General features: G+C 45.8%; 1 long non-coding RNA gene across 2 annotated transcripts in view; it reads right to left on the minus strand.

Moving 5' to 3' along the window:
• The window catches only part of SAT1-DT (SAT1 divergent transcript), a 34,045-nt gene that overhangs the window by 6,311 nt on the left and 13,471 nt on the right, over window positions 1-14,263 (minus strand). The window contains exons 3-5 of one of the 2 annotated variants that reach the window (NR_184057.1): window positions 10,295-12,425; window positions 7,185-7,330; window positions 755-1,857 (exon numbers count right to left, since the gene is read on the minus strand). This is a non-coding gene — a long non-coding RNA (SAT1 divergent transcript). Of the gene's footprint in view, window positions 1-754; window positions 1,858-7,184; window positions 7,331-10,294; window positions 12,426-14,263 lie in introns of those variants that run through there. The other variant, NR_184056.1, reaches the window with a different exon arrangement.

Consider the following 14,263-nt stretch of genomic DNA (forward strand, 5'->3'; position numbering starts at 1 on the left):
GAATATCACCAGAAGCAACCCTCACTAGTCGGTTTGTTTTGTTGTTGTTGTTGTTGTTGTTGTTTTGAGACGGAGTTGCGCTCTTGTTGCCCAGGCTGGAGTGGAATGGCACAATCTCGGCTCACTGCAACCTCCGGCTCCTGAGTTCAAGCGATTCTCCTGCTTCGGCCTCCCAAGTAGCTGGGAATTGCAGGCGCCTGCCACCAAGCCCAGCTAATTTTTGTATTTTTAGTAGAGATGGGGTTTTACCATATTGGTCAGGCTGGTCTCGAACTCCTGACCTCAAGTGATCCACACGCCTCAAACTCCCAAAGTGCTGGGATTACAGGTATCAGCCACCATGCGCGCCCAGGCACTAGTTGGTATTTTTAAAAGGGGTTCCTATTGAATTTCTGTATTGTTGTTTAACATAATTAGTAAAAATCTGCCAGGGTAAAAATTACAGGATTGGGCCAGGCACAGTATCTTATGCCTGTAATCCCAGCACTTTGGGGGGCCGAGGTGGGCAGATCACTTGAGGTCAGGAGTTCGAGACCAGCCTGGCCAACAGGATGAAACCCCATCTCTACTAAAAATACAAAACTTAGCTAAGTGTGGTGGCACACGCCTGTAGTCCCAGCTATTTGGGAGGCTGAGGCATGAGAATTGCTTGAACCTGAGAGGTAGAGGTTGCAGTGAGCCGAGATTGTGCCACTGCACTCCAGCCTAGGTGACAGAGCAAGATTCCGTCCAAAAAAAAAAAGTGACCAAATAATAGTATGGATAGTATGGTTTATTGAGCACTAATTCCTTAAATAAGCACTAATCTTATTTAATACTCACAACAACTGTATGAGGTCAGTATTACCATCTTATAGATAAGGAAATTGTGGTTTAGAGACATTAAGTAACTCTCCAAAAAGTCAAATGGCCAGCAATTGATGGCTAGCACACATTTACCAAACATTAGGTTGGTGCAAAAGTAATTGCAGTTTTTGCCACTGAAAGTAATGGCAAAAAAAAAAAAAAAAGGAAGTACTGGCTATTATCAGATGTGTAATTAGTTGTGTCCTTCTCCACCAGAGGGCGCAGTCCTGCACCCGAGACTTGTCACGAAAACCCGATAATGGGGTAGATCTGAAAGTAGGTTCATGACCCCAGTCATTGATAACAGCAGTCACTGGTGGAATCAGGGGACTCTGCAGTCACAGGACTCAAACTTGGAAATGAGACATCATCTAGAAACCTAGATGATCACAGGGCCTCAAATTGTAGTATTCAAGTTCCCCTTTCATGTACATATTCAGCATTTTCCAAGCCTTCAGACAAGATTTCTCCCTTTTGGTTTGTCTCCCCATGGGGACAAATGTATTCTAATTTATTTTTACTCTGGTAAATTATAAAGTAATGAATGACAGATAGTTCTAACTTAATTGACGGGCTCCCCACCATATTGCAAATAAAATGACTTGAAAATTGTCATCTCAGAAGCCTATGTCTGCATTTAATTTTTGTAATCTAGGACTCTTTTCCACCTAAAGCCAATAAATAAGGAAACTGTATTTCCACTTCTTTCCACTGTACTTTGGCAAAAATAGATTCTGGACTTCTTACTACTATTTCATTGTGCCCTTTCAGGTGGATGTGAGTCTGTGTCATTTATTGGTTACATCCTTACACATGTATCATTCTTACCCATCTCTTAGTCCCGTCTACCATGGAAACAGTAGGTGATGACAGGATGGTAATAAGCATGAAATTCAAAACCAGAAAGGTGAGCTGATGCTGGAGCTACAGGGTCTTTACTATCTGCAACTGGAGTGGACCATTTCTGCTGTCTTGTCCTTGATATGACACTGACATGAAGATACAGTAAGACTGAAAGTAAAGATTAGGAAAAACGCTTATCAGGTAAATACTTACAAAAATAAAGCTGTATTGGCTGGGCACGGTGGCTCACTCCTGTAATCCCAGCACTTTGGGAGGCCGAGGCAGGAAGATCACGAGGTCAGGAATTCAAGACCAGCCTGGCCAACATAGTGAAACCCCATCTCTACTAAAAATACAAAAACTTAGTCGGGCGTAGTGGCGGGCGCCTGTAATCCCAGCTACTCAAGAGGCTGAGGCAGGAGAATCGCTGGAACCCGGGAGGCGGAGGTTGCAGTGAGCGGAGATGGCAGCACTACACTCCAGTCTGGGCAACAGTGTGAGACTCCACCTCAATAAATAAATAAATAAATAAATAAATAAATAAATAAAGCTGTATTAATTAGCCAGGGTGATGGTATGCGCCTGTAGTCCCAGCTACTCGGGAGGCTAAGGCAGAGGATCACTTGTGCCCAGGAGATCAAGGCTGCAGTGAGCTGTGATCACACCACTGCACTCCAGCCTGGGTGACAGAGCAAGACCCTTTCTCAAAAAAATAAATAAATAAATAAACAATAACATATAAAATTTAAAAATATAAAACTGGCTGGGCGCGGTGGCTCACGCCTGTAATCCCAGCACTTTAGGAGGCCAAGATGAGATCACCTGAGGTCAGGAGTTCAAGACCAGCCTGGCCAACATGGTGAAACCCCATCTCTACTAAAAATACAAAATAAGCCAGGCATGGTGGCATGTGCCTGTAATCTCAGCTACTTGAGAGGCTGAGGCAGGAGAATCGCTTGAACCAGGGAGGTGGAGGTTGCAGTGAGCTGAGATCGTGCCATTGCACTCCAGCCAGGGCAAAAAGAGCAAAACTCCATCTCAAAAAAAAAAATACATAAATAAAATAGAACAAAATAAATAAAAAATAAATAATATAAAAAACCACTCTAAAGATAAAGAGGCACAAACATGATAAAAGGAAAAATTCACCATGAAAATATTAGTATAAAAACTTTGAACTTGCTTGTACCCAATAACATAGTCTCAGTTAAAAATGCATTGATAAATTTGACTTTTTTTTTTTGAGACAGGGTCTCACTCTATTGCCCAGGTTGGAGTGCAGTGGCACTATCACAGCTCACTGCATCCTCAACTTACTGGACTCAAGGAATCCTCCCACCTCAGCCTGCTGAGTAGCTGGGACCACATGTGTGCACCACCGTGCCCAACTAATTTTTTTAATTTTTAGTAGAGATAGGATCTGCCATGTTGCCCAGGCTGGTCTCAAACTCCTGGACTCAAGGGATCCTCCCACCTCGGCCTTCCAAGTGCTGCGATTACAGGCATGAGCCACTGCACCTGGCCAAACTTGACTACTTTAAATTGAAAGACTTCCATGTGACCAAAGACACTATTGACAAAAAAGTATCCTAGCCACAGATTCAGTACATGTCTGTAACAAAAATAGCAAAAGGGGAGGGATTAGAATAATGAATTATATAAAAGGGCTACTACAAATGCATAAGAAAAAGAAAAACAAGTCAATCAAAAATGGACAAAAGTCAGCCCAGCATGGTGGCTCACATCTGTAATCCCAGCACTTTGGGAGGCCAAAGCAGGCAGATCACCTGAGCTCAGGAGTTCAAGACGAGCCTGGTCAACTTGGTGAAACCCCATCTCTACTAAAAATACAAAAAAATTAGCCAGGCGTGGTGGCGGGTGCCTGTAATCCCAGCTACTGGGGAGGCTGAGGCAGGAGAATCACTTGAACCCGGGAGGCAGAGGTCGCAGGGAGCTGAGATCACGCCACTACACTCCAGCCTGGGCAACAGAGGAAGACTGTCTCAAAGAAAAAAAGGACAAAAGTTATAAGTTAGCATTTTACAGAAGAAGAAAAATATATGGCCAATAAACATATGAAAAGATCACTATCACATTAATCAAATTTAAACCATGATAAGATGCCATTTCATACCCATCAGATAAGCAAAACCAAAAGGTCTGAAAATATCAACTGTTGGTGATAACAAAGAGCACCAAGAATTCTCATTCACTGCTAGTACAGGTTGTAAATTGGTATGATCACTTTGGAGAGCAAGTTAGCACCATTTCACAAAGTTGAATACGTGTATACCCTGTGACCCAGCACTCCAGTCTTAGGTAAATACCCTATAAATTCTTGCCCCCATACACAAGGACATACACAAGAATGTTGTTTCAAACAACATTGTTTGAAATGGCCAAAGAAAAGAAAAACAAGGCCAGGCGCAGTGGCTCACGCCTGGAATCCCAGCCCTTTGGGAGGCCGAGGCAGGCAGATTGCCTGAGCTCAGGAGTTCGAAACCAGCCTGAGCAACATGGTGAAACCCCATCTCTACTAAAAATACAAAAATTTAGCCGGGCCTGGTGGCAGACGCCTGTAATCCCAGCTACTTGGGAGGCTGAGGCAGGAGAATCACTTGAACCCGGGAGGTGGAGGTTGCAGTGAGCTGAGATCATGCCACTGCATTCCAGCCTGGGCAACAGAGCGAGACTCCATCAAGAAAGAAAGAAGAAAGAAAGAGGGAAGGAAAGAAAGAAAGTAGAAAGAAAAAAAGAAAGAAAGAAAGAAAGAAAGAAAGAAAGAGAGAAAGAAAGAGAGAGAGAAAGAAAGAGGGAGGGAGGGAGGGAGGAGAAAGAAAGAGAAAACAAATCTAAATGTCCGTCAACAGGAATTTTTTTTAACTTTGAATGCTCCAAGGAATGATTTTTAATCCAATTAATTCATAATGCATTGCCAAATCAGTTTCAAGGTCAGTACTCCTTCCTTGGATAGATTTCAAATGCTTGTAATTTAATATTTGCATCTTGTATCCCTTTCACATATATGAATACGTGTAAACACTCTAAATAAGGGAAAGGCTACCCTGAGCAGTTGGTGTCATTAACTGGAAAAAGCTGTGTGGCTCTTTGTCTCCCACAGTGGCTCACAGGATTGAAATGCCTTGTTGAGTTTACCATGGTTCAGATACTGGCCCTCCGATATGCTAGTCTGAAACTTGATTTGTCACTTCACTAAAGGTAAATCTGTGTGTGTAGGAGGACTCACATTTGCCAAGAGACTGATACATGAAATTAGAATATCAATTTTTTTTTTTGAGACAGGGTCTCTCACTTGGTCACCCAGGCTCAAGTACAGTGGTGCAGTCATGGCTCACTGCAGCCTCAACCTCCCAAGCTCAAGCAATCCTCCCACTTTAGCCTCCCAAGTAGCTGGGACCACAGGTGCACACCACCATGCCCAGCTAACTTTTTAATTTTTTTTTTGTAGAGGCGAGGTCTCCCTATGTGGTCCAGGCTGGTCTCGAACTCCTGTGCTCAAGTGATCCTCACACCTCAGCCTCCTGGGATTACAGGCCTGAGCCACCACATCTGGCCTCATTTTTTTTTTTTTTTGAGACGGAGTCTCACTCTGTCACCCAGGCTGGAGTGCAATGGCGCAATCTCAGCTCACTGCAACCTCCACCTCCTGGGTTCAAGTGATTCTCCTGCCTCAGCTTCCGGAGTAGCTGGGATTATAGGTGCACACCACCATGCTCGGCTAATTTTTATATTTTTTAGTAGAGACGGGGTTTCACCATGTTGGTCAGGCTGGTCTCAAACTCCTATCCTTGTGATCCACCCGCCTCAGCCTCCCTAAGTGCTGGCATTACAGGCGTGAGCCACCACACCCAGCCTTTTTTTTTTTTTTTTTTTTTTTGAGACAGGGTCTCACTCTCTCGCCCAGACTGGAGTGCAGTGGTGCAATCTTGGCTCACCACAACCTCCACTTCCTAGGCTCAAGAGATTCTCCTGCCTCAGCCTCCCAAGTAGCTGGGATTACAGGCACATATCACCACTACCCGGCTAGTTTTTGTATTTTTAGTAGAGACGGGGTTTCACCATGTTGACCAGGCTGGTCTCGAACTTCTGACCTCAAATGATCCACCCGCCTCGGCCTCCCAAAGTGCTGGGATTACAGACATGAGCCACCACACCCGGCCTGGCCTCAATTTTTTAATTTATAATGAGATGTGGGTCTGCTTGAGGGTCATGAGAAGCCCAATTATAACTAGAAGATTTATTGATGAACATGAAATCAGTTGCATTCAGCTAAGATACATTCACAAGAATGTAAACACCATGATGGTAAAGATTTGTCTGATTTTTCTACTGTTATAATTCCAGAGATTTTAATAGTACCTGACACAGTAAAAAAAATCTGTTAAACAAATGAATGAATAAAGACAGACTGATGTATCTATCTCCACAATATACAGATACCTGACCGGGCGCATTGGCTCACACCTGTAATCCCAGCACTTTGAGAGGCCGAGGTGGGCGGATCATGAGGGCAAAAGATGGAGACCATCCTGGCCAACATGGTGAAACCCCATCTATAATCCCAGCTACTTGGGAGGCTGAGGCAGGAGAATTGCTTGAACCAGGGAGTCAGAGGTTGCAGTGAGCCAAGATCGCGCCACTGCACTCCAGCCTGGTGAAAGAGTGAGACTCTGTCTCAAAATAAATAAATAAATATAAATATATATATATATACAGATCCCTGTCTCAAGATTCAGCCACTAAAGTTCTTGCATCAGGGTATTCTTGTGCCCACTGCAGTACCAGCTTGAGTGGTGCCAATTTGCTAATTTTGGCCTTTGAGGTTCTTCTTTTTCTGTGTGTCCAGGACTGAACCTAATAAAACCTTTAGTTGCCTACCCTAAGCCATTCCCTTCTTTTTTTTTTTTTTTTTTTTTTTTTTTTTTTTTTTTTTTTTTGAGACTGAGTTTCACTCTGTTGCCCAGGCTGGAGTACAATGGCGCAATCTCGGCTCTCTGCAACCTCCGCTTCCCGGGTTCAAGTGATTCTCTTGCCTCAGCCTCTTGAGTAGCTAGGATTACAGGCATACACCACCATGCCTGGCTAAAATTTTTGTATTTTTAGTAGAGACGGGGTTTCACCATGTTGGCCAGGCTGGTCTCAAACTCCTGACCTCAGGTGATCCACCTGCCTCAGCCTCCCAAAGTCCTGGGATTACAGGCATGAGCCACCACGCCCGGCTGCCCCACTAATTTTTTGTATTTTTAGTATAGACGAGGTTTCACCATGTTGGCCAGGCTAATTTTGAACTCCTGACCTCAAGTGATCCACTCGCCTCAGCCTCCCAAAGTGCTAGGATTACAGGTGTGAGCCACTGTGCCCGGCCACTTCTACAAAAGTTATAAAGCCCATAATACATGTCCATTACTTTCACCCTAGATAGTTAAATATCTTTTATAGATGTTAAAAACAAGAAAAATATATTTTCTATTTACCCACACATTTGCCATTTCTGGTGCTCTTCATTCCTTTGGGCAAATTCAAGTGTCCATCTGGTATAATTTTCCATCAGTTTGAACAACTTCCTTTAGCATTTCTCGTAGTACAGTTTTAGTGATGAATTCTTTCATCTTTAGATTTCCTGAAATATAAATCCATTTTTGGGTTATGCCTTCATTTTTGGAGAACATTTTCACTGGATATAAAATTCTAGGCTGGCAGTTTTTTTCTTTTAGCTCATTAAAGATGTCATTCCACCATCTCTGGTTTGCATTGTTTTTAATGAGAAACCAGTCATCAGTCTCATCTTTAAAATTTTCTCTCAATCAGGCCAGGTGTGATGGCTCACGCCCGTAATCCCAACACTTTGGGAGGCTAGGGTGGGTGGATCACTTGAGGTCAGGAGTCCAAGACCAGCCTGGCCAACATGGTGAAACCCTGTCTCCACTAAAAATACAAAAATTAGCCGGTGATGGTGGCACATGCCTGTAGTCCCAGCTCCTCAGGAGGCCGAGGCAGGAGAATCGCTTGAGCCTGGGAGGCAGAGGTTGCAGTGAGCCAAGATTGCACCACTGCACTCCAGCCTGGGTGACAAAGCAAGACTCCATCTCAAAAAAAAGAAAAAGAAAAAGAAAAAGAATCACTGGTTTTCAGAAATTTGATTCTGAAATGCCTTGTAGTTTCCTTTGTGTTTATGCAGCTTGGGATTCACTGGAATTCTTAAATGTGTTAATTTATAGTCTTCAATAAATTTGGCACATTCCAAATGTAGAATAAGAATTACAAAATTGAGAATTGTGTTGCACTAATATATATTACAGAAGGTAAATAAAGAGTGCTTAACTACTATTCACAGGTCCTTAAATTTGTTTTTTGTTTTTTGGTTTTTGGTTTTTTTTTGAGATGGAATCTTGCTCTGTTGCCCAGGCTGGAGTGCAGTGGCATGATCTTGGCTCATTGCAAGCTCCACCTCCAGGGTTCATGCCATTCTCCTGTCTCAGCCTCCTGAGTAGCTAGGACTGCAGGTGCCCGCCACCACACCGGGCTAATTTTTTTTGTATTTTTTAGTAGAGACGGGGTTTCAACGTGTTAGCCAGGATGGTCTCGATCTCCTGACCTCATGATCCGACCGCCTCGGCCTCCCAAAGTGCTGGGATTACAGGCATGAGCCACCGCGCCCAGCCCTATTTTTGTTTTTAACCATGGCTTCAGAGACTAGGTACTGAAAGAAAGTTTGGGAAAATTTAGCAACAAATAGGTTTCTGACATTTTTTTTAAAAAAGGAAAAAAAATAGAAAGTCTGGGAAATGGTTATGTCTGCTGTCCTGTCCAGATTCTAAGTATTATAACTGCATAATCTCCTCCTATCCGGTATCTGTAAAATATCTATAAAAAGAACAAAGGGCCAGGTACAGTGGCTCACGCCTGTAATCTCAGCACTTTGGGAGGCCAAGGCAGGCGGATCACTTGAGGTCAGGAGTTCGAGACCAGCCTGGCCAACATGGTAAAACCCTGTCTCTACTAAAAATACAAAAATTAGGCAGGCGTGGTGGTGCACACCTGTAATCCCAGCTACCTGGGAGGCTGAGGCAGGAGAATTGCTTGAACCCGGGAGGTGGAGTTTATAGTGACACAAGATCGTGCCACTGTGCTCCAGCCTGGGTGACAGAGCAAGACTCTGTCTCAAAAAAAAAAAAAAAAAAGAACAAGGAAGAAAAGTTGTGTGAATTGATATATTCTGAATCATGGCCTTTTGAAAATTTTCTCCTACTTTCATCTTTTCTGTAAGTTTGCTTCTTTAAAAAAAAATCTCCAAGTGTAGATTATAGTTGAATGCTATTTAGGTCCTGAATAAGGTCCACTTCTAAAGTGAGACAGACTTGTAAATAATTTACCCAGATGATGTGTTCTGGATTGAACCCTGTTCACAAGGTGTCTGGCCAGGCAGATAAAATGCTCCAAGCAAAGTGCAGTGGGGTTTACAATACTGATTATCCATACTCTAATGATTCCTGATTCTATGACTATTGAGCCATACCTCATTGGTTGGCAAACAAGAATCATTACACATTTATTATTCGTGAGGAAGGTCAATGCTTCATGCCAAAGGTCAATGAATAAGAGAATGGTCCTGTGTAAGGGCAGGATAAAACAACTTTAGGGCACCATTAGGCCATTCGCAGCTGTTCTTCCTAACCCAAAAATAGTTGGGATCCTTATATCGCCAGGTAGCCAGAAAGGAACAAACATTTAGAGGGTGCCTGTTATATTCTAGGCACTCTACAAAGGGCTTTACAACATCATTTAGTATTTACAACCCTAGGAGGAGGAAGCTATTATTATTCACTTCATTTTACACATAATCACACTCAAATTCAAGTACCTTGTCTAAACTCACACAGCTGGTAACTGGGCAGCACGGACATTTGCATCTAAATGTGCCTGGCCAAAAAAACAAAAAAACCCTGCTTTTTCCACCACACAAGTACACTTAGCTCCACTTTCCTAAAAGGACTCACTGAGTCAACTACCCTTTGGCACCATGGCAAAAGGCTGGCATTCTCTAAGTCACTTGCATGGATGGGAAAATCCATAATCCCTGTCTGAGGATAAGTGTGTATTCTATCTATGAGGCAAGAACATAAATGAAGAGATGTGGACCATTTTTTTAAAATGAAGGCAAGTTTAGTTTGTTTGTTTTTGTTTTTGTTTTATTTTGTTTTTTAGACAGAGTCTCACTCTGTCACCCAGGCTGGGGTACAGTGGCACAATCTCGGTTCACTGCAACCTTCACCTCCCGGGTTCAAGCCATTCTCCTGCCTCAGCCTCCTGAGTAGCTGGGATTACAGGCATGTGCCACCACACCCGGCGAATTTTTGTATTTTTAGTAGAGATGGCATTTCACCATGTTGACCAGGCTGGTCTTGAACTCCTGACCTCAAGTGATCTGCCCACCTCCACCTCCCGAAGTGTTGGGATTACAGGCATGAGTCACCACACCCAGCCGTGAAAGCAAGTCTATTAGGAAAGTAAAGGAATAAAGAATGGCTACTCCACAGGTAGAGCAGCCAGTAGACCATTTTCAAAGCATTGGGACAGCTCTCACCTCAGAAAGAAATGATGGTATTGCGGTGCCTCAGCTCTACCAACTAGATTCACCAACCAGTGAGCTCTGCCTCAATCATCGTAGAATCAGGAATCATCATCTCGGAGTCATTCTGAGATGATTCATCATAGAATTGGGAATCATCTCAGAGTCATTATCAGAGTCTCAGATCATCAGTATTATAATCCCTATTGCACTTTTCTTGAAGCATTTTACCTTCCTGACCGGACACCATCTGTTCCTGTGAGTAGAAAAATCCTACGGTCTCTGCAATTCTCCTTCTGTGAAGAGGCCTGGATGGAGGCAGCTTCCTGCAGCCTCTCAGGGTGGCAGGGATCTCCTAGCAGGTTGATTGTGTCACGGGATCCTTCAGGTGTTGCTTTTCCAGCTAGAAAGCTCTGTGACCAGTGGTGCCTTTGCCTGAGTTTTGATCAGGCCCGCCAGACTTGTTCCACTGACGTGGCCTGGCAGGCTGTGCTCAGCTCATGCTACCAGCCAGGATTCCACGCCTGCCGAGGGTGAGCCAGGCACGGAACAGCGAGGGGTGTGCAGGCGAGCGAACGCAGGGTCTGGCCACTGCGCAGAGCCGGACACACCAGCTGCTGCAGCTGGGCAGGCAGCTCCAGGCGCCGGCAAAGGTGCCGGTTCTATGCAAGTCTGCAGCTGGATCTGATGAACCACAAGCGGCTTCTGCTGTGGGCACCTGTGTCTGGACAAGGGGAATGCAGTGGTGCCCGGAAGTTTGAAGATACCAGAAACCGCAGAGCCCCAAAGAGGGTGTCACAGCCCTGGCTCAGGGAGCCCCTAGGTCTGTGCTCCCTGAAGGGCCACAGCACTTCTCTCCTTCACATCACCCGCAACATGGCAAGTCGCGGGGGTGTGGGGACGGGAGGAGGGCGTGTTTCAGCCCTGTTTGTGTTACTGCTCTTTCAGTCCCGCCATTCAGTGGGTCCTGAGTTCTCGTCCCACATCCAGGAAGAATGAGGTACGCGGACAACTAGAGGGTGAGCAAGGCGGAGAGGAGCCTTATCGAGTGACAGAACAGCTCTCGGGAAACTTGAAGTGGGTAGCTCCTTTCCGCAGGCAGGTTGTCCCAGTAAGTGTCCAGCTCTCAGTGGAGAAGAGACCCAGAGTGGGTAGCTCCCTTCTTCAGGCAGGTTGTCTTGATGAGTCGAGGAGACCTGAATTGGGTAGCTCCTTCCCACAGCTGGTAGTCCCAGCGTCTGTGTGAGTCTGGCTAGGCTCAGAAGGGAGGAAGTGCATGCTGATTGGCCCATGGGTGGCCATGGGCTGACCCGGAAAAATCACCATAAGTTCTCACTCCGGGCCACAGACTTCACCCGGGACTGACAGCCTAGCCCCTGGGCTTCAGGCCTCCCTGGCTTGATGGTGGGGCTTTACCGGGGACCCACCTCTTTCCGCCCAGGAGCCTGTCTGCCTCCTGCCACCATCAATCATGTCATCCACAGCGCCCAGGCTGTTCCTGCAGAGGAGTACCGGCAGCCCGCACCGAGTGCCCTCAGCTCCCCCACCCCACGCCGCCAGCCTCTCTCCTGTGCTTCTCAGTGCCCAAAGCCTAGAGGGGGCCAGGGTGGCAGGGGGCTGGCATGTCAGCGGCGCCCCAGGCGCACGCACACCCAGCTGGGTCTAGACAGCGCTTGGCCTCAGCCACAACTTTGCTCCACCCCAGAGTGGGCTCCAGGAGCAAGGAGAGGCCAGGCAGCAGGAGCAGGCACTTCCAAGCCTGCGGGTCAGGGGGTCTTCCCAGCCCCCGAGAGCACAGGGATGTCCAGGTCTGCAGCTGTGGCTGGGTGGTTGCAGCTGTGCCGGAAAGCGTGGGGCTCCCACCCGGCCAACTCAGAAGAGGGTGGGGCTCCGGCCAGCTCCACGGAGCACGCAGCCCCCACCGTGCCTCCCACACTACAGCTGGCATCTTCACAGTAGCCGCTCCAGACAGGCCACTGCTGCCATCAATTGTTTACTTGTCTTAAACTGCAGGTGTTCATAACCCATATTGCAGAGCTCTACTTATCAGTCCTATTCTTGTGATTGGGGACAGGGATGCAAAGCAGAGGAGAAAGGCTTACGAAGAGGAAGAGGTTGAGGAGACTGGAACTGTCAAGAGCACTCCCTGTGGTAATTAAAACAAGACGTGTGCTAGTGAAACTTAATTTGTAAGAAGTGGACTCAAGTGTTTTGTTTACAGATTTTTGCCCAAGTTCCAGCCCTAGGAGAATATTTCATATGACATCTGTTTTTTTAGAGAGAACAAATTTTTTTTTTGAGACGGAGTCTCGCTTTGTCGCCCAAGCTGGAGTGCAGTGGCGCGATCTCGGCTCACTGCAACCTCCGCCTCCTGGGTTCAAGCGATTCTCCCGCCTCAGCCTCCCGAGTAGCTGGGACTACAGGAGCATGCTACGACACCCAGCTAATTTTTTTTGTATTTTTAGTAGAGATGGGGTTTCACCATGTTGGCCATGATGGTCTCGATCTCTTTTTGTTTTGTTTTGTTTTGTTTTGTTTTGTTTTGTTTTTTTGAGACGGAGTCTTGCTCTGTCGCCCAGGCTGGAGTGCAATGGCGCGATCTCAGCTCACTGCAACCTCTGCCTCCTGGGTTCAAGCCATTCTCCTGCCTCAGCCTCCCGAGTAGCTGGGATTACAGGCGCCGCCACCATGCCCGGCTAATTTTTTGTATTTTTAGTAGAGATGGGATTTCACTATGTTGGCACTATATTGGTCTTGAACTCCTGACCTCATGATCTGCCCACCTCGCCTCCCAAAGTGCTGGGACTACAGGCGTGAGCCACCGCACCCGGCCACGTCTGTTTTTTTTATTTACCATTTCTGCCAGAAAATCTATGAGGGTCATAATTGCACAGTAGTACAGTAAAAGATTTCTTGACTTCAAAGTCAGTAAACCAGCCAGGCATGGTGGCTCACGCCTGTAATCCCAGCACTTTGGCAGGCAGAGGCAGGCAGATCACTTGAGGTCAGGAGTTTGGGACCAGCCTGGCCAACATGGCGAAAACCCATCTCTACTAAACACACAAAAAATTACCTGGGGATGGTGGCACGTGCCTGTAATCCCAGCTACTAAGGAGGCTGAGGCAGGAGAATTGCTTGAACCCGGGAGACAGAGGTTGCAGTGAGCTGAGATCGCGCCACCACACTCCAGCCTGGCGGACAGAGCAAGACTCCATCTCAAAAAAAAAAAAAAGTCAGTAAATCTCAGCTGTATTTCTGACTCTCTTTCTTTTTTAATGAGGTTTCTTTTTTCTTTTCTTTTCTTTTCTTTTCTTTTCTTTTTTTTTTTTTGAGACGGAGTTCCGATCCTATTGCCCAGGCTGGAGTGCAATGGCGCGATCTCGGCTCACCGCAACCTCCACCTCCCGGGTTCAAGCGATTCTCCTACCTCAGCCTCCTAAGTAGCTGGGATTACAGGCATGTGCCACTATGTCCGGCTAATTTTTTGTATTTTTAGTAGAGACGGGGTTTTTCCATGTTGGTCAGCCTGGTCTCGAACTCCCGACCTCGGGTGATTCGTCCGCCTCGGTCTCCCACAGTGCTGGGATTATAGGCATGAGCCACTGCGCCTGGCCTTTTTAATGAGGTTTCTAGTCAACTATCTGCCACTTTCTAGCTGGGTGACCTGGGACAATTACTTTACCTTCTCTGGGCTTCAGTTTTCTTAGCTTTTAGATGAGGAATGTGGAATACAGAATTACTTTCTATGCTTCTAAGATGACAGAAATCTCAACAATAGAGGATGTAAGGCTTTGAAGAAAACCCTTATACTTCTAGATCATATTCATCCAGACCAGTTTTATTTAAACGGCTGGTTTTATTCCTAGTTTTCCCTGACGCTCTAGAATGGAAATGTACAATTAATCTCTCCTTTTTGGAGTACAACAAATATTTTCTAATTTAATAGACTCCAGATAAGAAAGCAGGACACACATAAAAAATAAG

Source organism: Homo sapiens, chromosome X (assembly GCF_000001405.40).
Source record: "Homo sapiens chromosome X, GRCh38.p14 Primary Assembly".
Classification (NCBI taxonomy): Eukaryota; Metazoa; Chordata; class Mammalia; order Primates; family Hominidae; genus Homo; species Homo sapiens.